We start from the raw sequence: 22929 nt of genomic DNA, 5'->3' as shown, positions 1-22929 counted from the left end.
AAAAGGCAGCCATATCCAACCTTATTGATGATGTTTCTATATATTTTGTAAGTATGTATATTGTATTAGAGAGCATTGTGACATTAAGAGGAGTACAGTGGCTGTTTCAGCATCAGTTTCATAGGTCTGCTATTCCAGTTTGGGATATGTTGGGGTGAGTCAGAATGGGAGTCACAATGGGGAAGTTGGTTTGTCAATATCCTGGGGCAAAGTATCAGAAGCTTTACTTTATTCATTCATCTAGAAGCCATCAATCTCTGAGGGATTGATAACTCTATAGCAAAACAGAAAAGATTGCTAGAGATCCTAATGTACTAATATCCTCTCTGTTTTTCTTTCATAGAATTACATAGTGATTTGGAAACTAAAGTAAGGAAAAACTTCAGCAATGAGATTTGCTAAATGTTGCAATGTATAACTGAGGGAGTCCGTGTGAGTGTCCTTTCTGTATATCTTTTAAAAATAGGAACAGAATTAATTATCTACGGTGATTATAGATTAGCCCAGTGCAAACAGGAGGACGGATCGTAATGGTGGTTCCTGGGGAATCTCTATGAGGACGCTGTTTCCTGTGGCATCTGTCAATACCTATTACTGTATTTTTGTTGCATCTCTAATCATCACTCTGTTAGATCTTACCACATTTATTTCTTGCCTTTAGACTGAATAGGAATTCATTTTAAGGAATATTTAAATGGCAAATTTAGAAAGTAAAATTGGATTTTCCTTTTCCACATTAATTTTTTATATAGCTATTTATTTTTACTTACCAAGTTTGTTCTTTCAGTGGCTCAAGCCACAGACATATATTCAGGAAAAGCTCTTGCAGATTTTGTGAATCAACAAATATTCAGTATCATGTTTTTATGTTTATTCAGTACCTCTCACCCATACCCCAATATATCAGAGCAGTGGGTCACTGACCATTAATAAAATTTTATTAAATTGAAATTAATTAATAATTTGCTCTTTTTAGCAAGTAATAGTGAAAAGTTTTCATTGCTTTTTATTTTCAATTTACAGCAGGTTTATTGGGAGATAACCTCATTGTAATTTGAAGATCATCTGTATTTCAGCGTATTTTATTATACAACAGTGAATAATTAGAAATGTGCCTTTTAGTATGCATGTACAGAAATGCATAGACAAAATATCAGTGAATCTCATTCATCAAAATATTTAAGCTGTGATCACACCACTGCATTTACTTTGGCAACAGAGTAATGATACTACCAGTCTCAAAAAAAATAATAATAATTCAATTTGTTTATCCTATGCTAACCATTTCCAACATTTTAAATCCTAATTCCTACAGACTGACTTACTATATAACTTAGCTTTTCCATTGCTTTTATAGAAGTTGCTTTCCTATAAAAATGTGAAATTCACAATGCTCATTAATTGAATTTATTATTCTTTCAAGAGCCATATGAATTTATATCTTCACATTTTTATATTTTTTGAATATTTTTTCATCTATAACTTGATTTATAATGAGTTTACAGCAGTTCCAGATGCATTTATACATCTGTTCTTCTAAAACAAGTTAGAATTATTAGTTTAGCAATTAAGAGATTTAATGTATTTTATGTGCATTTCAAAGGCAGCATGGGTGAAACAAGTTTTGTACAGAGTGGTAAATTTGCTATCCTCTTCTTCTTGACAAACATAGTGTAGAGTTAAAAACAAAACCCCTGTTATTATGAAGTAATTTTATATATACAAAGTTTACAGAGATTTTACAGAGGGTTTCTGTATAGCCCAGTTGTCCTTGTTAACCTCACATATCACCCTGGTATATTTAGAAAAACTAAGAAATCAACATTTGCACATTACTATTGACTAAACTTCAGATTTTACTCAAATTTCTCTAGTTTTTCCACAAATGTCTTTTTTTTTTTCTATTCCATGATTTCGTCTAGGACACCACATTGCATTTTGACAAAGTTTTTATTAGAACAAAATTTTAGAATTGGGACTAAATGTCTACTTCCCATGAAGAATGCACTGTGTGTATGTAATGCCAAAACAAGAATCCCAAATCCATGTCAAAGGAGAGAAAAGAATGCTTGCTCTACTGTCAAAGGGTGCCTTGGAAGAAACCAGTTCTGCTACTATTTGTTAGTTAATTTTAAAGCCTTTCTCTGGCTTTCCTCATTTTATTCAGTTGAGTAAAAGTGAGGAAGAAGCTGCACACTTGACTGACTCTCTGCCCTAAATCCTATCCCACTTCTCCCATCTCTGGTAACCCAGTAAACATTCTAACATCTTAAATTCTTTTCCAATCACCCACCCTCTGTAATCTAAAGTCTTCAAGAATGTTCTTGCTGAAGTATCAGTGGATTGCTCTAACAGGGCAATCATTCCTCTATGAAACAAAGCCTGAGATACCCATGCTAGTTCTTTTATATCAGAATGCTTTTATTGGGGAAGGAAGTTTGGTAATGGCTTCTGGAAGTTTATTTTAAAAAACCCAGTCTGGAAAAATTTTTAAATCATTTTTTGTCATTGCTACTACATTATCCACTGATACTGAGGTAATTTTTTGTCCTAAAATATTTTCGGGGAAGGATATAACTCCTTGGCATCCCGGAAAAGCTGTCATTTGACATCTGCCCGATAAGCTTCCCCGTATGGGGCTTTGATGAAAGGGCCGATCCTCCAACAAAGTTTCAAACTGAGGTGACTGTGGAGAAAGCCAACTTTGCAAAAATAACAACTTTTCAGGCTATTAGATAGCATCTTTGGAAGCTATAATTTTACTTTTGAGATTGATTTTCTGATAAATAAACCTGCAGCTTTAAATCTAAAGATTTAAAGTCATATGTTAACACATAACAATAACTATACATTTTAAAATTTTAGGTTGACATTTTAGTCAAATAAGCAGTTTTCTCATATGAGAATTAAAATTCTATTTCCTAGAAATCTATCAGAAGGCTTATATAAGACAATACTACTTCTGAAGTATTAAACATTTTTCCTCTGTAGATCTCATTTATATACTTATTTAACTGACAAAAGTCGTGTAAACTTATTGTGCACAACATGTTGTTTTAAAATATGTACATTGTAGAGTGGCTAAATCAAACTACTTAACATATGAGTTACTTTACATTTTTGCCATTGTTGTTGGTAGTGGGAGCACTTAAAGCCCTCTCTAAATCTTTGTTTGTTTTTGTTTTTTGAGACAGAGTTTCACTCTTGTTGCCCAGGCTGGAGTGCAGTGGCACGATCTCGGCTCACTGCAATCTCCACTTTCTGAGTTCAAGCGATTCCCCTGCCTCAGCCTTCTGAATAGCTGGGACTACGGGTGCCAGCCTCCATGCCTGGCTAATTTTTGTATTTTTAGTAGAGATGAGGTTTTTACCATGTTTGCCAGGCTGGTCTTGAACTTCTGACCTCAGGTGATCCACCCGCCTTGGTCTCCCAAAGTGCTGGGATTACAGGCATGAGCCACTGTGCCTGGCCCCTCTCTAGATTGTGAATACAGTTGTTTTGGAATGATAGCATTACTTTCATACATAAGAATATTCATTGAAACCAAACTGGGAGATTTTATAAGAATATACTCTGCTTATGTTGTATTACTATAAGAGCTCCAATCTTGGGCATTTTAGATAGAGGTATTAGGATGTAGCCTTGTCCTACGAATTCATGTTGATTGACATGGAAGCTATTTAAAAGCTGGTTTGTTCTTGATCTCTTTGCTGTTCTTACTAGCGACCTCTTTTGATTTATTGCCAACTTGGATCTTGGGTTGGCCTATATTCTGAGACCAGACTGTACTTGACCTGAAGTTTATAGAGAGCCCTGGCTAGAGTTATTGGCTTTGTAGCCAGTTCTAATTTCCTGGTATTCTGATCCTTTATTATCTGGTATCCTGCCTGAGTCTTTGACACTTTGTTGCCTAGGTTCAGAACCTGAGTAACTCCTTCCTCTTGCTTGAAACTTACACTCGTGAACCGTGAACCATGAACCGTGAACCGTGAACCGTTTGCCAGATTCTGACCTGAGAGAACAGCTTACCTTCTACCCTACACTGACCTAACTGAGCTGTTTTTGCCTGTCTGAACCTATGGTACTACCCTATCCCTTAGACTGTAACCGTTTTTTTAAGACTAATTAAGTAAAGCTGTAGGAATGGTTGTATTAATTCATCCTTGCACTGCTATTAAGAAATACCTGAGACTGGGTAATTTATAAAGAAAAGAGGTTTAATTGGCTCATAGTTCTACAGGCTGTACGGGAAGCATGGCAGCTTCTGCTTCTGGGGAGGCCTCGGGAAGCTTTTACTCATGGCAGAAAGCAAAGCAGGAGCAGGCGTCCTACATGGTACGAGCAGGAGGAAGAGAGAGAGGGGGAGGTGGTATACACTTTTAAACAACCAGATATGGTAATTCACTCACTCACTCACTGTCACGAGAACAGCACTGAGGGGATGGTGCTAACCTCTTCATGAAAACGCCACCCCCATGATGCAATCATCTCCCACCAGGCCCGTCTCCAACACTAGGGATCATAATTCGACATGAGATTTGGTGGGGGCACAGATCCAAACCATATCAGTGGAGAGGGAAAAACATAAATCCGTAACTGGCTGTGATTAATTAGCTGTAAACTCCATTCCACTTGGACCAGGCTGGACTGTAACCTCTGGATTGATATATCTGAAAAATCTAATTGGGTCCCTGATCTTGACTTTCTTAGTTCTCTTATATCTGTTCTGTTCAATTATTGAGCCCCTATTATAAGTTAGGAATTGGGTAGATGAATATAGGGAATATAGAAAAAAACAGTTCCTGCATTCTTGTAGCTTTGACTGGGCTGAGCATAAGAGACAAACACACAGATTACTTTTTGTTGTTGTTTTTGTTGAGACTGAGTCTCCCTCTGTCGCCCAGGCTGGAGTACAGTGGCGCGATCTCAGCTCCCTGCAACATCAGCCTCCCAGGTCCAGGCAATTCTTATGCTTCAGCCTCCTGAGTAGCCGGGACTACAGGCATGGGCCACCATGCCGGGCTAATTTTTTTGTATTTTAGTAGAGATGGGGTTTCACCATGTTCGCCAGGCTGACCTTGAACTCCTGAGCTCAGGCAATTCACCTGCCTCTGCCTCCCAATGTACTAGGATTACAGGCCTGAGCCACCACGCTTGGCCTCAGATTACTTCTTGAATATTTAATGCAGGCTCAAGGATATTTCCTGGGTGAATGATACTTGAGTTGAGTCTTAAAAGATAAGTAAAAATTAACCAGGCCTTGGGAACCTCCTGGCTGCTGGGTAACATGGCAAAGGCACAGAGGTGTGGACCAACATGGTGTGCAGGAATATGACAAATGCTGTTATAACTAGAGTGTATGTAAAAGTTTTATTTGCTACCTCCTGCATGTCATATTGTGACACGTTAGTTGCAGAGAAATCAATGTGACAAGGTTCCAATGAGGTTAATTCCATATTAGATTAAAGGATTTAGCAAGTAGAAAGTACTGAACTCTATCTTGAGTTGTGGTTTAATTAATTTGCTGTGTTTGGGGTGAGAATTGAGGTGAAACAAGAATCCTCTTAGATAATTTGTTTCTTCATTATGATACCAACTCACTGATTTAATCAAGACTCACCTAATTTTCATAAGTTCTGCTGTGAATCCAGATCTCACAATGACCAGTAGATACATTTCCAGAAGGAAGTAGTTAGTTCTTGCAGTTATTGACCCTATACCTTTACCGATAGCAGGGTAGCTTAATCAATATTGTACAATGAATTAGTTTCTATTCATTGATAAACATTTTTGTTGAGTTGGACACAGTGAGAGAGGTAAAAAAAAATTGCTACTGCACTGAAAAACATAGGACGAAATAGTGGCAAACTATACAAGACAGTAGTAATTCAAATATGTAATGTGTTGTACAAGTATATAGTGGAGAATCTCCTAACTGGGTTAAGTGCTATGCATTCTCTCTGTGTCACTTGTTATCTTGTTCTAGCCACTTCATTTATAAGATGTGAGGGTTTTGATTGATACCTACAGTCTTTTCTTTTATTTATTTATTTTTATTTTTTATTCTTTTGAGACAGAGTTTTGCTCTTGTCACCCAGGCTGGAGTACAATGGCACAATCGCGGCTCACTGCAACCTCCACCTCCCGGGTTCAAGTGATTCTCCTGCCTCGGCCTCCTGAGTAGCTGGGATTACAGGCACCTGCCACCATGCCTGGCTGTTTTTCATATTTTTAGTAGAGACGGGGTTTCACCATGTTGGCCAGGCTGGTCTTGAGCTCGCGACCTCAGGTGATTCGCCCACCTCAGCCTCCCAAAGTATTGGGATTACAGATGTGAGCCACTGTGCCCGGCACTTTTCTGCTTTTAAATACAATGATTTTAGAAAGTCTGTATATGAACTTTGGGCTTGTACCTAGATATCCCAGTGTGTGTAGGGAGCCCTGTATCTCTGCAAGGGGATCCATTAGACCAAGGATATTAGATCCAGCACTTCTCCTTTTTAATGCATGTCATAAGCACATGATTTTATATCATGTCAGAAAAAGGCTGTTGATATAAAGGAAGAGAACAAAGAATGAGAAGAACTATATGAGTCAAACTCCATAGATGAAATGTTGTTTGGACTCAGATACAGATGATTACATTAAACATATTTCCAAGTTCAAGGAAAATTATCATGATTCTAGAATTATCATTTCTTCCTTTTTCTCTTTTATCCCTATTTCTTACTTTTATTCTCTTCCCTTCCCCCACAGGCAGCAGTCCTTTTTGGCACCAGGGACTGGCTTTGTGGAAGACAGCTTTTCCACAGACCAGGCAGGGCATCAGCAGATGGTTTCAGGATGATTCAAGCACATTACATTTATTGTGTACTTTATTTCTATTATTATTACACTGTTATATATAATGAAAGAATTATACAACTCACTGTAATGTAGAATCAGTGGGAGCCCTGAGCTTGTTTTCTTGCAACTTGACAGTTCAATCTGGGGGGTGATGGAAGACAGTGACAGATCATCAGGCATTAGATTCTCATAAAGAGCATGCAACCTAGATCCCTCGCATGTTCACAATAGGGTTTGTGCTCCTGTGAGAATCTAATGCCTCTGCTGATCTAACAGGAGGTGGAGCTCGGGGGTAATGCAAATGATGGGGGGTGGCTGTAAATACAAATGAAGCTTCACTTGCTCACCTGCCACTACCTCCTTCTGTGTGGCTTGGTTCCTAACAGTACTGGTCCATGGCCTGGGGGTTGGGGTCCCTTGTTCTAGAGTGTTTTAATGTGAATCTTTCTATTTGCAATTTTTGTTTCTAAATATGTATTGTGGTTTTGTGTCACTTTATCTTAGAGTTATGCATAAGGTATTGCAATATTTATTTTATTCTGTTTCTTATTTTTTCCCAACTAGATGTATAAGATCCATTTATGTTACTACGTGTACATCTAATCTGTTGCTTAAATCAATGTGGGCATCCACTATCTTTTTCCTATTAACTCTACCAATAATGGATACTCAAGTTGCCTTGGAGATAAACATCCTCATACAGGCCTTTTTCGGGACCTATGTGAGAGTTTATGTACATACACACACACACACACACACACACACACACACACAGAGCCAATGGATCTTGAGGAATGTGAACGTGTATTTTGATTAAGTGCTCCAAATCCTCTCTAAAAATGTCAAACCATTTTACCTCTTCCCAAGCAGTGCACAAGGATCCTTACACCTCCCTATCACTGTCTTTACTTGGCATTGTCAGCTGTCTAATTTTTGCCAGTTTAACAGGTATAAAGTGCTATTGCATTGGTTTTACCAGGCATGATCAGCAAGAGCCTTGACAGAGGAATGACAATAGCTAAACGAGCTGCCTCTGTTTCTAAATTCCATGAGGCTCTCATTTCTTATTCTTCTGTGGCCATTAAAGAGGGATACGGTTGGGGGAAGATTCTTCTTCTCTGATCCCTATCCCTTCAAAAGCTTAGTTTATGTTATTATGGCACAAAAGGTGTGATAAGAGATTACCTAGATCCTATGTGGTTGCGTAAATTGGAACAATGTTTGCTTGGCTATGTCACTCCAGTAATTCAACCTTCATAAAACGTCCATGGCTGGTCAGAAATTTTCTGGGGACTTAGGTAGTAATCAGCCAGAAATATGCAGAAAGCCTGATCTTTGAGCTTGCATCTCTCTGTAACATACCTCAGTGTTCTGTCTTCCCCTAGCCGTAACTTAACTGCTCCCAGGAGTACTTCTGTCTCCAGGCTATTTTCTCTGCTAAAGACACCCTCAGGTAGAAAGTGTTGACTCTATGGAGATGCATGAGTGCAATATTCTGGCTATTATTTTTTTCTTTGAAATCAGGACAAACACCTGGTTCTTTCTACATATCAACGGGAAAAAAATGTTAAAAGAAGGAACAAAGAGAATCAATTTGAAAAACAGGGAAGTTGAGTCTAGAATAATATGATTTGATGCTTGAAACTATGTTGGGGAGTCAAGTTTCATGAGCATAAGTTCAGATTACCAGAAAATCATGGAAGAGAACTATTCAGATTTTCATATAGAAATTAGAATATGTCTCTTTCCTATTTGAGGTTGGAGCTACTTTATGTTTATTATGCTTTTATGATCCAAAGGGGCTTCAGAGGCTGACCATCACACATAGTTGAGAATAGAGAATTGGTCCTCAGCTACGCCAAAATTAATCCTGTGATCAATTTTGGAAAATAGTAATGTTTTATAATCATTCTCTAATTATTGCTGACACCGTGGCTGGATAAACAAATGGAAATTTACATACAACTTATTGTCCGTAAATGGGAAGCTCAAAGGTGAGTTCAGAATGACTGTCCTTCACAGATCATTGGTTAAATGGATTCTGGGTAAATGGGTTAATTCTAGCTGATATTTGAAACTTAATCTGTATCACTTTTTTTTCTACTTGAAATAGAATGGAAATTCTCCCCTATGAAACCCCAGTGTCTTCTGGGCATGCTGGGGGTTAACGGCTTCTAGAACCTCTTTTCCTGATAAAAGTCTTGTCTTCTGTGTTACTTCTCTACCGTGTTCAGGCAGGGAAAGGTTTTCTCTAAAAGTTCCAATGTTTCGGTTCAGAAGAGAGGGATTGATGTTATGATTAAGAAAGGGCAAAATTACTTTTTGGGCTAAATTAGCCTATGATGGCAGACATAATTTTACATATTTATATAGCTACTTCCCTTAACCTTTATCCTCTAAAGCCCCTTACCCTTGCTTTCCTTATCAAATAAAAACAATAACATCTGTTTCATACTTCAGTTGATACAAATCATTTCATGTGCATTATCTCATTTAATTTCAACCACTCTTGACATGTTCATGAACATATCTAAACAATTAAAATGTCTCAGGATTAACTATGAAGAGTTCAGTCACCCCTAGTTTTATTGACTAGATGACAAACATCTGCCACCAAGGCTAACCCCTGGAAAAATAATAAAGAGGACAAAATTTGTCTTTTGCTTTCTCCCACCCTGCTCAGCATTTCTTTTCCCAACACAGCCAAACCCTCCCTTCTGACACACCCGATGCTTTCATATGGCCTCCAATTGCCCAGGATTTTCTTTGTAGAAAGTGTCTCCAAGGCAGCCCACTTCACATCTTCTTTTTTTTTTTCTCCTGGTAATGAAAACTTACATGCTTTATATTTTCTCCCATTAATGTCTTTCTCTGCTTATGGCCTATTGCAGTGAACTCTCTAAGGGGCATTTGCATCTTGGATGAGAAATCTCAAAGTCTTAACAGGAAGAAATAAAGCAGCAATGGTAGAATTTCAGATATAGTGATGCATATAATTTAGAAATAGAGAGTCCTCAAATCACAGCAAGTAGGTGACTGCCATTGTCACCTCATGTGAGTAAAGCCCTTTCTGGAAGGCATGGTATTTATAAAATACCTGAATAGTCAATTGAATCTTTTACTTTCACATTCATCTTTCAATATAATACAGACTGAGATTACCTGATTAATATTTACACTCTATTCACACATAGCTCATTTGCCATTTGCAAACAAGCATTAAAAGGTGTTTTGGAAATGATAATGACACTTATGGATTACTAAATCTTCCTATTAAGGACAGTAAAGTTGCTGACATTAGAAGTAAAAATGTATTTACATATGTAATTCCTCCTTAGAATAAAATAGAACATAAAGTTTTACTTGCTTAAATTAATTGAAGGGAACTTATAGATCACCTAGTCCAAGTTCTCTCACTTTCCGTCTGAGGAGACCGAACACAAAGGGGAGAAAGTACTCATGCTGGATGTCACAGTACATTAGCAGAGGCAGTGGGACTAAAGCCCAGGTTTCCTTACCAAACGTTTACATTTTTTCTACAATATGGTTTTGCTGCTCATCATCAACCACAATTGTAGGTTGGGATTGTTAAAATCTTCAGACAAAGTAAATTTCACAGAATTTATTTGAGCAAAGAATAATTCATGAATCAGGCAACACTCAGAACCAGCAGAGGTTCACAGAGCTCCACCCAGCAATACAAGCAGGGAGTATCTATAGACAGAAACAGCAAGTGACATGCAGAAACAGCTACATTGGTTACAGCTTGGCAGTTGCCTAATATGGACACGTTCTGATAGTTGGCAGCGTGTGATTGGCTGAAGCTCATCTGAGACTCAACTACTTGTTACAAGACTATACTCTTAAACTAGGTTGTAGTTATCTACATAGAAACTCAAAGTAAGGAGGCAGTGTCAGACCAAATTTAGTTTAACAGAATGAAGAGTAGAGAGTCTCAAACAGGCTTGCTTGCCCACAACCCATCTCTGAACTGTCTATACCTCACTTTAATCTGTACTCCATACCAGCTCCATCTTCTCTTCCTGATTCACTGCAGCTGGATTTCCTTCTTTATGCCTTTAGCAGACATAATTTCAAGTAGACATTGTGAATATGTCCTCTTCCTGGTCTAAGGATAAAACAAAATACTTTGCACATAGAAGGAACTTAATGCACACTTTTTTTTTTTTTTTTTTTTTGAGACAGGGTTTCACTCCATTGCCCAGGCTGGAGTACGGTGGCACAATCACAGCTCACTTCAGCCTCCACCTCCCAGGCTCAGGTAATCCTCCCACCTCAGCCTCCTGAGTAGCTGGGACTACAGGGACGCACCACTATGCCTAGCTAAATTTTGTATTTCTTGTAGAGATTGGGTTTCTTCATGTTGCCCAGGCTAGTCTGGAACTCCTGTGCTCAAGCAGTTCTTCTGCCTTAGCCTCCCAAAGTGTTGGGATTACAGATGTGAGCCACGGCACCCAGCTCACACTTTTTATATACATTTTTAAGTAAGAAAAATGGATATCACCGGGTCATTTAGCTCCTTAAAGGCACAGATCTTGTTTCATGCTTATTTGCCCACGATTTTATCCTGAGATGCTAGCATAATGATACTGTTCAATAACTCTTTGTAGAATGAAAGAGTAAATAATAAACGACTAAAGCAAGATATTGAAACTATCATTTGCTTTCCAAATAATTTGGAACTTCTCTCAACTGACATTTAAAAAATATCATTCAACTGGCGGTGTTTGGTAGAAACTGATTTTGTGTTGATTAAAATTATGTAATTCTATATTGAAAACAAAGATTGTATGTGCTGATGGTCATGTCACATTTTACTTTATTTCAAATTGTCATATATATATATATATATTATATATATACACACACACACACACATATTTTTCTATTCTCATCACTGGGCAGCAAAAGTCACATTCAGTAAGGATAGATATAATTTACTTGGATAGGATTAAAGGTTATTTTTCAAAGTTCATTTAAATATTCTTTTTGGATTTCGTGTCAACACAGTTCACACTTTTCTCTTATCCTTTCTCTAGTTTTTGTTGAGACCTAGGCAACTTCTTTGGAGGCATGCTAACTGGTTTAAAAGATAGATGACAGTAGAAATCACTCATTCTCCATTGAAAGCACTATTCTATCATGCTTTATTTTGTTCAGGACTCAGCTGACTGCCGCTGCTGACTTTAGGAGCCTGTCAGCTAGCTGATTGCTGAATGAGTTAGAATTTTAGCTCTGCTAGTTACGTGCTGGGCTGGGGACAGGCCTCATGCCATCAAAGTTTGGGCAAACGTCTTCACCCCTATCAGACTTTGTAATTCTACCTGCAAATTTGGGAGAATAAAGCCATCCTGTAGTGTTGTTACAAGGAAGGGGTTAAATGTATTCAATATGTAACTCAGTGCTTTTATCAATATGTTCACATTAGGTGCTCAATATATTGTCATCCTCATCATCCTCGTCATTTCTACTATTCCTAAAGGAAAAAAAGGCTCAACATTCATTTCCTAGTAATTCCTTAAATTTCTAGAATCTGATGAAGTAGTTTGTTTTCCTAACTCAAACTGCCACTGTGGCGTGGACTTTAGTAGAGTGGCCTGCCTTGAAGACAATTTCTTGTGGCAGCATTTCATTTTTACAATGTTTACAGGAGGGCAGCCAGCCAGGAAGCCAGATCAGGGTGGATTCCAGGCACAGGCAATATAGGAAACGTGCGTAAAATTATTACCACAAACTGCCTTCAAAGAATTGTTCTGATTGTCTAAAAATATACAAGTAGAACTTGCTGTAATGATTTCATTCTTTTCAGGATTTCCTCTCTATTTCTGTCGATATTTTAAAAACCATTGACAATGAAGTGAAAACTGTTGCCAAAACTCTTTATATATATGTATTTAGCTAGTCAAACGTGCTGGAAAATTACATCTAGGATTTTGAGACTTAGCCCATCAATCTCAGGTATACTGTTAGCATTGCCACAGTTTACATATAATAAATGTCATTGCTTTTTCTGTCTTTGATCAACATACACACATTTTAAAGTATAGTAGTTTTATAAGTATGCTGGAGTACAAGAATGTATCCTTTTTAGGTTTAGGCTCCCATGAAAGCTCATTTTCAATCCTAGGGACTAGAAGTTGGTACTCAAGTGATTTCTGTTCTGCTTTTGTTGGATGTTATTACTTTGGAGTTATCTATTACCTGCAAGATCCATTGTTTCTCACATGCGATTGAAATAGATCATCTCATGATGGAGGCAGAGCTGACACAATGTTGTACTGGAGGTATTTGGTCTATGGCACACATCCTGTGGCTTGTCCTCTCTGACTACCAACTTCACTAAATATCTTTGTGGTAGGTAGTTCAGTGAAATCAATAGGATATTCGACTGGGCTTCTTACTGAGTGGGAGAGATAAATTATGTCCAATGGCCACTTTTTCATTCACCCAAAAGAGTTTTGTAGTAACAGTAGATGAAACAAGTGGCCTCGAGATCTATCCTTTCTTAAAATCATCTCACTGCCTTAAAAAATACTTTCAAAAACATTCCCAAATTGCTGCTTCGTACAGCATCTGCTTCAAAGAAAAGAACTAACAGGCAAAGTAGATGAATGAGGACTTATGAGTTTCCTTTCATAATGAATGTTGCCTAATATTCCATAATCAGGTAAAGAGGGCTGAAAAAATACAATGTATCAGCTTGAAAACGGAAATCTAGAGGAAAAGCTAAGATTTTCTAGTCCTATTCTACAAGCTGAAGAAGTGAAGAACTTCATTATTTTTTTCTAGTCCATTTGCAGAAGCCTGTCCGTCTCGTGTGGCATAGTGAAAAAAATAATCTCTTGGAAGCAGGAGAATAAACCTGACTGTTAGTAGAGAATTCAAGTAGGACCTTAAACAAGTCACTCTCCTCCTTTGACTATAAGTTTTCTTTATAAAACTAATATGACACTGGTCTATATGTTAACTTTGGGAACAATAATTGACTTTGGCTTAACAATGCAGGCTGACATATCAGTAGGTTAAAAAGCACAGGATTATTAGATAGTAGACTGTTGTTTTGTTTTGCAAACTGATTTTCCAATTTGGGGCATAGTTTAGAATTTCAATTAAAAATATTATTACTACCACTGGAAACAGGTAAAGAAGAGCAGTCATTTTACTATCATCATGTTTTTGGAATTTGCAGTAGTAAATTTATTGCTTTCTAAACTTGAAGAATAATTTTGGGGTCCTAAAATGAAAATACAAACTGGACAGTGTAGAAAATATAGGTGATTTTAAATATATTGTCTATGTAACATAGCCTTCAGCTTAGTGTCTTAAAAATAATTTAGGATAACATTATTTGATTTATTTGCTAAATTTGAGTGGGTTTACACCATTATTTATGTTTCTCATTTATTCAATAGATGTTGGGAATTTACTGTTTGCTAGTTTCTAAAGGAACTTCTATACTTCTCTTTATTTTCATATAAAAACAATCATAAGATAACTTCCATGTACATTTGACTATTTTTTGACCTACAAAATGGTGATTTCACGATTCAAATCTATTTATCTTCTATTTGTTTATCTAATCATCATTGAAAAGAGTCATATTCTATAAAATATTTGAAGAGATTTATTCTGAGCCAAATATGAATGACCATGGCCCATGACACAACCCTCAGGAGATTCTAAGAACATGTGCTCAAGGTGGTCGGGGCACAGCTTGGTTTTATACATTTTAGGGAGATGTGAGACATCAGTCAAATACATTTAAGATATACATTGGTTCTGTCCAGAAAGGTAGGACAACTTGAAGGTGGGGGGCCTTCCAGGCTATGGGTAGATTTGAAAATTTTCTGATTGGCAATTAGTTGAGTTATTATCAATAGAAAGGAATGTCTGGGTTATAAGAAGAAGTTGTGGAGACCAAAGTTTTATCATGTGGATGAAGCCTCCAGGTAGCAGACTTCAGACAGAATAGATTGTAAATGTTTCTTATCAGACTTAAGGTCTGCATTGATGTTAAATGCTGGTGAGCTTATCCTGAATCCCAAAAGGGAGGAGGGCATAGTGAGGCATGGCTGAACCCACTTCCTGTCATGGCCTGAACCAGTCTTTCAGGTTAATTTTGGAGTGCCCTGGCTAAGAGGAAGGAAGGAGTCCATTCAGGGGGTTGGAGGGCCTTAGAATTTTGTTTTTGGTTTACACTATTTATTTATTTATCTATCTATGTATCTATCATCTATCTATCTGTATATAATTCACAACTACTACATAATGGATGTTCAGGAAAAACAGACAAAAAGAGTACCAATAAAGAACTTATTCAGTCATCGTGTATCCTTGAGTATAATCAAGTATGTAAAAATAATATTTCAGTTCACATCAACATAAATATGGAATACATCTGAGGTGATAGGGAACATTAAATCTGTTACAAATCCATCAACCGTATTTTCTCCAGTATGTTCAATTTTCCTGTCTCCAAAGGATTTTTGTGCATGTGTGTGTGTGTGTGTGTGTGTGTGTAAGAACAACTATCAAGTAACAAAATAGCTTGTTTTTCTTCTACCCCTTTTTAGAATAACATCTTCTGACATACCAAAATAGCCAGGAAAGAGGAAGAGGAAAGAGAGAGTGGAAATCAACCACTATCTGAAACTTAGCCTAGGAACAATTCAGAATAGACATAGCAGTTTCCTCCTGAAAGGGAAATATGTTTCTATTTATCTTTTCTTATGATTTACCATAATAACAAAGTACCCCAGAGAGAATTCATACATTTGTTTCTTTTCAATGTGAAAAGTAATGCTATTAAGTAAATCCGTGAAGTCTTCCATCTGATGAGTTACCTTAACAAAGGACTACATATTTTCTATATACCTTGTTAGTCAAATAAGTTGCTTAGGTTCATCTTTATTACATTAGCAGCATGGGGAATTAAATATTGAGCTCTTTGGCTATTAACCATGTGTTTAACAAAAAAAAATTCTTCAAACAGAAAAAAGAGAGGTTATTTTGAGTTCTGAAAGGCTTCTACTAAAGAATGAAAGCTATCTGTTAGAATAGCACGTGAATATGAAATGACTTCACACATTTTGAATTGGCTTATTCTTTTTTGATATATGTACAAAATACGAGCTAACTTATAGCATGTAGTAAACAGCGACATTCAGAAAAACATCAATGTTGTAAGGAGATCTTTAATTTTTTTAAATTAGAAAAACAGATTTGGAGTGCTGACTTCTTGATGAAACTATGCTAATCTGCATAAGACTTTGCTGAACTCTTAACAGAATTCCTACTCCTTTGTAGAAAAGCCCTCTCCTACTATCCACAGGCATTGGTCTTACTCTGAAACTGATCTCATCCTACCATGAGGCAATCTGTGGATGCAGTAAACTCCTGAAGTATATTTCTCAAAGTCTGAATTTAAGCAGATTAGAACAATGTCATTAGATAGGTGGCATCTCTTTTGTTCTCTACTGTATCTCCAGGTCCTAGGACTGTGCCTGGCACATATAGCTATTCAATGAATGAATAATTTGGGGGTGAGGAGTATTTCAGCTGAGTAGTTTTGGTAGACTGTGCTATAATTTACCTAGTCTCTATCAAGGTCTTTGCCAGAGTGAGATAGAGATATAAGCTACTCTACTCATTTTTCCAGTGATCATACATACACACACACACACACACACACACACACACCCTTCCAAAGACCAAATACAACCCTCGAAGTAAGATAGTATAGCTCTAAAATCTTCAACGTTATAATGTGTCCTTTGACATTTAGCACACTTGTCTATATTCTTTCTCGTATCAATGTAATAATGCCTGCTTTTTTTTTTTTCTTTTTGAGACAGGGTCTTAACTCTGTCACCCAGGCTGAGAGTGCAGTGGCGTGATTTCTCCTCACTGCAAACCCTGCCTCCTGTGCTCAAGCAATTCTATTGCCTCAGCCTCCCAAGTAGCTGGGATTACAGGCATGGGCCACCGCGCCTGGCTAATTTTTATATTTTTTTGTAGAGACGGGGTTTCATCATTTTGTCCAGGCTGGTCTCAAATTACTGACCTCAAGTAATGCACCCGGCTCAGCCTCCTAAAGTGCCGAGATTACAGGTGTGAGCCACCACACCTGGCCTGCTTTTTCTAAGTGCATATTTGTTTGTTATGTCTTTGTCCTACGGCAATGGCAGACTCATTAGACTGTAAGGGAACTCAGCCAGCCTTGAAATGAGAGATTCTCTGGTTCAAGAGCAGAATGTGATAAGTGAGGTGGGATGGATTCATGTCTCATTCCTTCTGGGATATGCATGCTGAAGGGCCTTACCTGAGGTGACATTATTTCCAGTTTGGCCAGTAGAACTGCAGGTTGTATTTTTTTTTTTTTTTTCCTAACTTAGTCGGTTTGGATTCATGCTCCAACCAGACTACATAATTTCAGGACAGAAAGTCTCATTCTCTCTCAGAAGAGCAAAACATTGGAAAAGTGAAGGGAAGAAAAAAATATTGGAACTGAAACTAGTAATTATGATTTTCTGGTTAACATTTATGGTCTTTTGAGGATTTTTATTATTTCCTGTAGATTTGGAAGGGGTAAGATGAACATGTACAGTTTGCTCATGGGCCAGTAAGAGTGTCTTTGCTTTTGGAGTTTGAATTAACAGTAATGTGTCTAGGGGTCATTTTTAATACTTTTTTTCTTAACCATTTTTATATATTTGTTTGAGACTAGATAGACCAAGAACAAATAGAATATCATGGTGGTTGGCATGCTAATATTAAAAAAAGATTTTTTCTTTGTTAAGTAGAAATGAAATCAAGTACCAAAAAAAAAAAAAATCGTAAATTGGCAGTACTGATGAAGCATGTGAAAGGACCTTGCTCCTTTTACACTATCAGATATTTTTTTGAGAACCAGATTGGGTTCTCAAAAATTTAGATTGGGTCAAAAGAGCAAAAAAGAATATTCTCTATTGACTTACTTATCTTTAGAAGGTATATTTGTCTCTTTTCTTTAGAAAATATGGTACAATAATTAAAAAAAACTACAAGCTCTCTGTTAGTGCAAAGCTTAAGTACTCCCAAGAGCCACACATTAATTTATTGGAGAGGAGGAAAGTTATTAAAAACCTCTAAGGCTCCATGAATAGCTCATTTACCTACTTTGCTTAAATGCTAGTTTAGAATTAGTTCTTGACTAGAGAGCTGCTTATTTTGCAATTAACAAAGAAGTGGAATTTCTTTGATAATTTTGCTTGTATATTCAAAAATTAACTCGATGTCACCAGACTGCTTAAATGTGGTACATTTTTTTCCCCAAAGACATGAGTGACAAGAAGTTAAAGGCCCCAGTAGTTATATGGTAACTAGTGTGTACCCTCTTGAGAAAACCCTATCTGCACTACAATATAGACATGATTCTGTGATAATTAGGTTCAAGAGACAACTCTCCAGGGAATGAGCCACATGCAGGTAATAATAGCTTCCATTTATTAAGTGATTTCTGCATTTGGCTTTATGCTATGTGCTTTAAATATGGTAACAATAGTGCATTAAATCTTACCATAACTCTGTAAGTTAGGTATTATTGTAACTATTTTACATTGGACCACTGAGGCTTAGACAGGTTAATAAGTTGGTTGAAAGTAACTAAGTAATGATGGAGCTGGGATTGACACATTGATTCTATATTCTATGCTCTTTATTTTTATAAAAAGCTTATATTTAAAAAATGACATAACTAATATAGTATATACTCATAAACTCACATACTAGCTTAAGAGATAAAAACACTACAAATATCACTGAAGCCCTGTGTGTTCTTATCTCATACCCAATCACATTATCCTCTTTTCCCACCAGAAAGTCACTCTCAGTATTTTGTGTTTTTCTGATATATTTATTCACTATATGTCAGCTTATTCCTTAACAATATATTATTAGATTGCTTAGAATTAAATATTTAAAATGTATATACATTACAAATTTATGTAAAGATTATATATGTCTTTCTGGAATTTGCTCCATTATTTTTGTGAGATTTATTCATGTTAATCCTAGAGTTACTTTACAATTATATATTGTAGTCCATTGCAAGAGTATGGCATAGGTCATTTATCCATGACCCATGGATAAATAGATCATGGATTGGTAGATGTTTTTTGTCGACTCCATTTATTGGATGCTGCTGGGAACTACTTTTTCTTTGTATGTATCTTAACATTTCCTAGGAGTGGAATGGCCACTGGTAAGGGATGTGCATCTTCAAATTTAGGAGATCCAAATGCATTTATTGAGTACTTACATCAATATACATTCATACCAGCATTGTTCCTGTTGTTCTCCAATGTCCCTTGGTATCGTTGAACTTTTAAACTTTATTTTTGTAAACCTTACTATGTGAAGTGAATCCTCAGGGTGGTTTTTGTTCACATTTCCCTTGTCACTGGTTGAGGGCATCTTTTTAAACTTGTATACCATTTGCTTTCTTCTCCTGTGGATTGCCTACTGCTACACTTTGTTCATTTTCCTACTACGAGATCATTTTAAGTTGTCTTTCTCTTGTTGTCCTGAATATAAGTTATTTTCTTATTATATGTATTTAAAATATGTTCTTCATGATTATGGCTTATTTCTTCAATTTGTTTGGTGTCATTTGATGAACAGACATTTTAAAATTTGAATACAGTCAAATTAATCTTCTTTATGGATCACAATCTTTGTGTTTTTAAAAGAATTCCTTTCTTACTCTAGGATCAAAAAGACTTCATTTTATGTTAAAATTTTACTTTTCACATCTAGTTCTTTAATACCTTTGGAATTTATCTTTGTGTAAGGTAGGGCATTGAGATCTAACTTTTTAAGCAGAACCAATTATACTGATTCCATTTATTGACTGGTTTACCCTTTCTTCACAAATTTGCATTGGGAGAGCAATTTTATACACAGGCATAAATGTTTCTGGGTTTTTCATCTGTTCTATTGATTTGATCATCCATATGTCATTATGGCTGTATCTTAATTGTTCTAGTTTTATAATAAAGTTTGGTATCCGAAAGGGCTAATACTCTAACAATTTCTTCTCCAGAAATATTATGACTATTGATCCCAGTTCTTACAGGTATATTTTAAAATTAACTTGCAGAATTTCAAATAACCTCTGTTGGGATTTTTGCGTTATAGTTATAGGTTAATTTTGAGAAAAGTGGTATTTAAATATATTGTATATTTATATCTATGAACATGATAAATCATTTACTTTGTCTTTTTTAAATTCTTTTAATAAAATTTTATATTTATTTCTTAAGATATGGCACATCTTGTGTTAGATTTTTTCTATATTTCACACATTTTTAGATTGTATTAATATTGCATTTTTTTGAATTATAGATACCTTGTGGACACTTTAACAATATTGAATATATTAATCCACGAACATAGTATGTCTCTCTATTTAGGTCCATTGGAAAGACAGTTGATCCTGGTATAGGAATAAAGTTAATTTTTATATAGTAATTTTTAAAATTAAATTTATTTAGATATAATTTACATATGAGTACAACATTTATGTACATCTCCATGCAAATTTTTATGTCAACCAAAGCTTTCAAATCAGTTGGGTAAAAACCTTAGAGTAGTCGGGGCACAGTGGTTCACACCTGTAATCCCAGCACTTTGGGAGGCTGATGCGGGTGGATCACGAGGTCAGGAGTTTGAGACCAGCCTGGCCAACATGGTGAAACCCTGTCTCTGCTAAAAAATGCAAAAATTAGCCAGGCATGGTGGCGTGCACCTGTAATCCCAGCTACTCAGGAGGCTAAGGCAGGAGAATTGCTTGAACCCGGGAGGTGGAGGTTGCAATGAGCCAAGATCCCACCACTGCACTCCAGCCTGGGCGACAGAGCAAGACTGCATATTGAAAACAAACATAAACAAAAAAATCCACCTTAGAGTGTGATTGCTGGATTGAATAATAACACTACCATTCACTTTGTAACTAATGGAGCAAATTTCCCACAAAGCATGGCTTTCACTGTATTCAACAAATTATTCTAATTTACGTTCTCAGTATAAAATGTTTCTTAGTTTTCCTTGAGACTTCTTCATTGACACATTATTTAAAAGTATTTTGTTTAATCTTCAAATATTTGGATATTTCCCTCTATTTTTCTGTTACTGATTATTTAATTTCATTGTGGCCTGATAATGCATTTGGAGTGATTTTTCTTCTTCTAAATTTGTTGTGTTTTATGGCCAAGAATGTGGTCTGTCTTGGAAATATTTTCTGTGAACTTGAAAATGATGTGTATTCTGTTGTTCTTGGATGGAATATTCTATAAGTGATATTTAGATCAAATTATCTAATAGTGCTATTCAGGTCTTCTATATCCTTACTGATATTTCAATTGCTTGAGCTGTCAAAACTGACAAGGGTGTGCGAAGTCTCCAACTATATTAGTGGATTTGTCTAATTTCTCTTTTTAGTTCTACCAGTTTTTGCCTAAGGTATTTTATTGTGGTCTTGTTAGGTGCATACATATTAAGATTCTTATTTCTTCTTAGAGAATTGATTGCTTTATCATCATGTGGTACCCTTCTTTATCTACAACAATCTTCCCTGGTCCAAAGTTTGCTTTGTCTTAAATTAGTATAGCTATTCCAGCGTTCTTTGATTACTGTTAGCATGATATATTGCTATTAGCTTGGGTTTATATCAAACATGTTTGTAACTATTTTTTATTCACTCACTCCTTGTTTTTTTATCTTCCTCCTTTTAATCTTCTCTTTTTATTATGTACTTTATTAATTTTATCTATTTATACAATATTATACTTCTTTGAAAAAAAGTGATGCTTGTCCTAAAGTTTATAATATAATTTTAGCTAATCTAAGTCTATCTTCAAATAACAGTACACTACTTCATGTATAGGGCACCTATCTTATAACTAAACAGTGTCAGTTCCTCCCTGCTACTTCTTATAATATTGCTCTTTTACATTTCACTTATCCATTTGCTAATAATGACCTAATACATTGTTACTGTAATTACTTTAAACAAATATTTATCTTTTAGATCAATTTAGAATAAGAAAATTGATGGATTCTGTAAGTTGAATAGTTTATTTTTCCTCTTTCTTTATGTAGATTCAAGTTTCCGACCTATATCATTTTTCTTCTGCCTAAAGAACTTCTTGTAACATTTCTCACAGGGAAGATTTGATGGCAATAAATTCACCCAATTTTTGTTTGTCTGAGAAAGTCTTGGTTTCTCCTCCACATTTGAAAGACGATTTTTAGATTTAAGATATCTAGAAATAACTTTTTTTGGGTGTGTGTGATGGAGTTTCGCTCTTGTTGTCCAGGCTGAAGTGCAATGGCATGATCTCAGCTCACTGTAACCTCTGCCTCCTGGGTTCGAGCGATTCTCCTGCCTCAGCCTCCTGAGTAGCTGGTATTACAGGTGTGCACCACCACACCCAGCTGACTTTTGTTATTTTTAGTAGAGACAGGGTTTTGCCATTGGCCAGGCTGGTCTCAAACTCCTGATCTCAGGTGATCCACCCGACTTGGCCTCCCAAAGTGCTGGGATTACAGGTGTGAGCCACAGTGCCCGGCCCAAAATAATTCTTAAATATGAAACTCTAGGCTTATGTTTTATCTCTTTCAACTTTGAAAAAATTTACTCCACTTTCTTTTTGATGGCATTATTGCTAACAAAAAGGCTGCTATAATTCTTACGTGTATTCTTCTATAGATAGTTGGTGTCCCCCTGCACCCTTAATCTCTCTGACTTCTTCTTTTCTTATTTATTATTATTATTATTATTATTATTATTATTATTATTTTTAGACAGAGTCTGGCTCTATCCCCCAGGCTGGAATGCAGTGGCACAATCTTGGCTTGCTGCAACCTCCGCCTCCCAGGTTCAAGCGATTCTCCTGCCTCAACCTCCTGAGCTGGGATTACAGGTACCCGCTACCACGCCTGGCTATTTTTTTTGTATTTTTAGTAGAGACCATGTTGGACAGGCTGGTCTCAAACTGCTGACTTCAAGTGATCCGCCTGCCT

Source organism: Homo sapiens, chromosome 1 (genome assembly GCF_000001405.40).
Source record: "Homo sapiens chromosome 1, GRCh38.p14 Primary Assembly".
Classification (NCBI taxonomy): Eukaryota; Metazoa; Chordata; class Mammalia; order Primates; family Hominidae; genus Homo; species Homo sapiens.
This window is presented reverse-complemented; position numbering follows the sequence as displayed.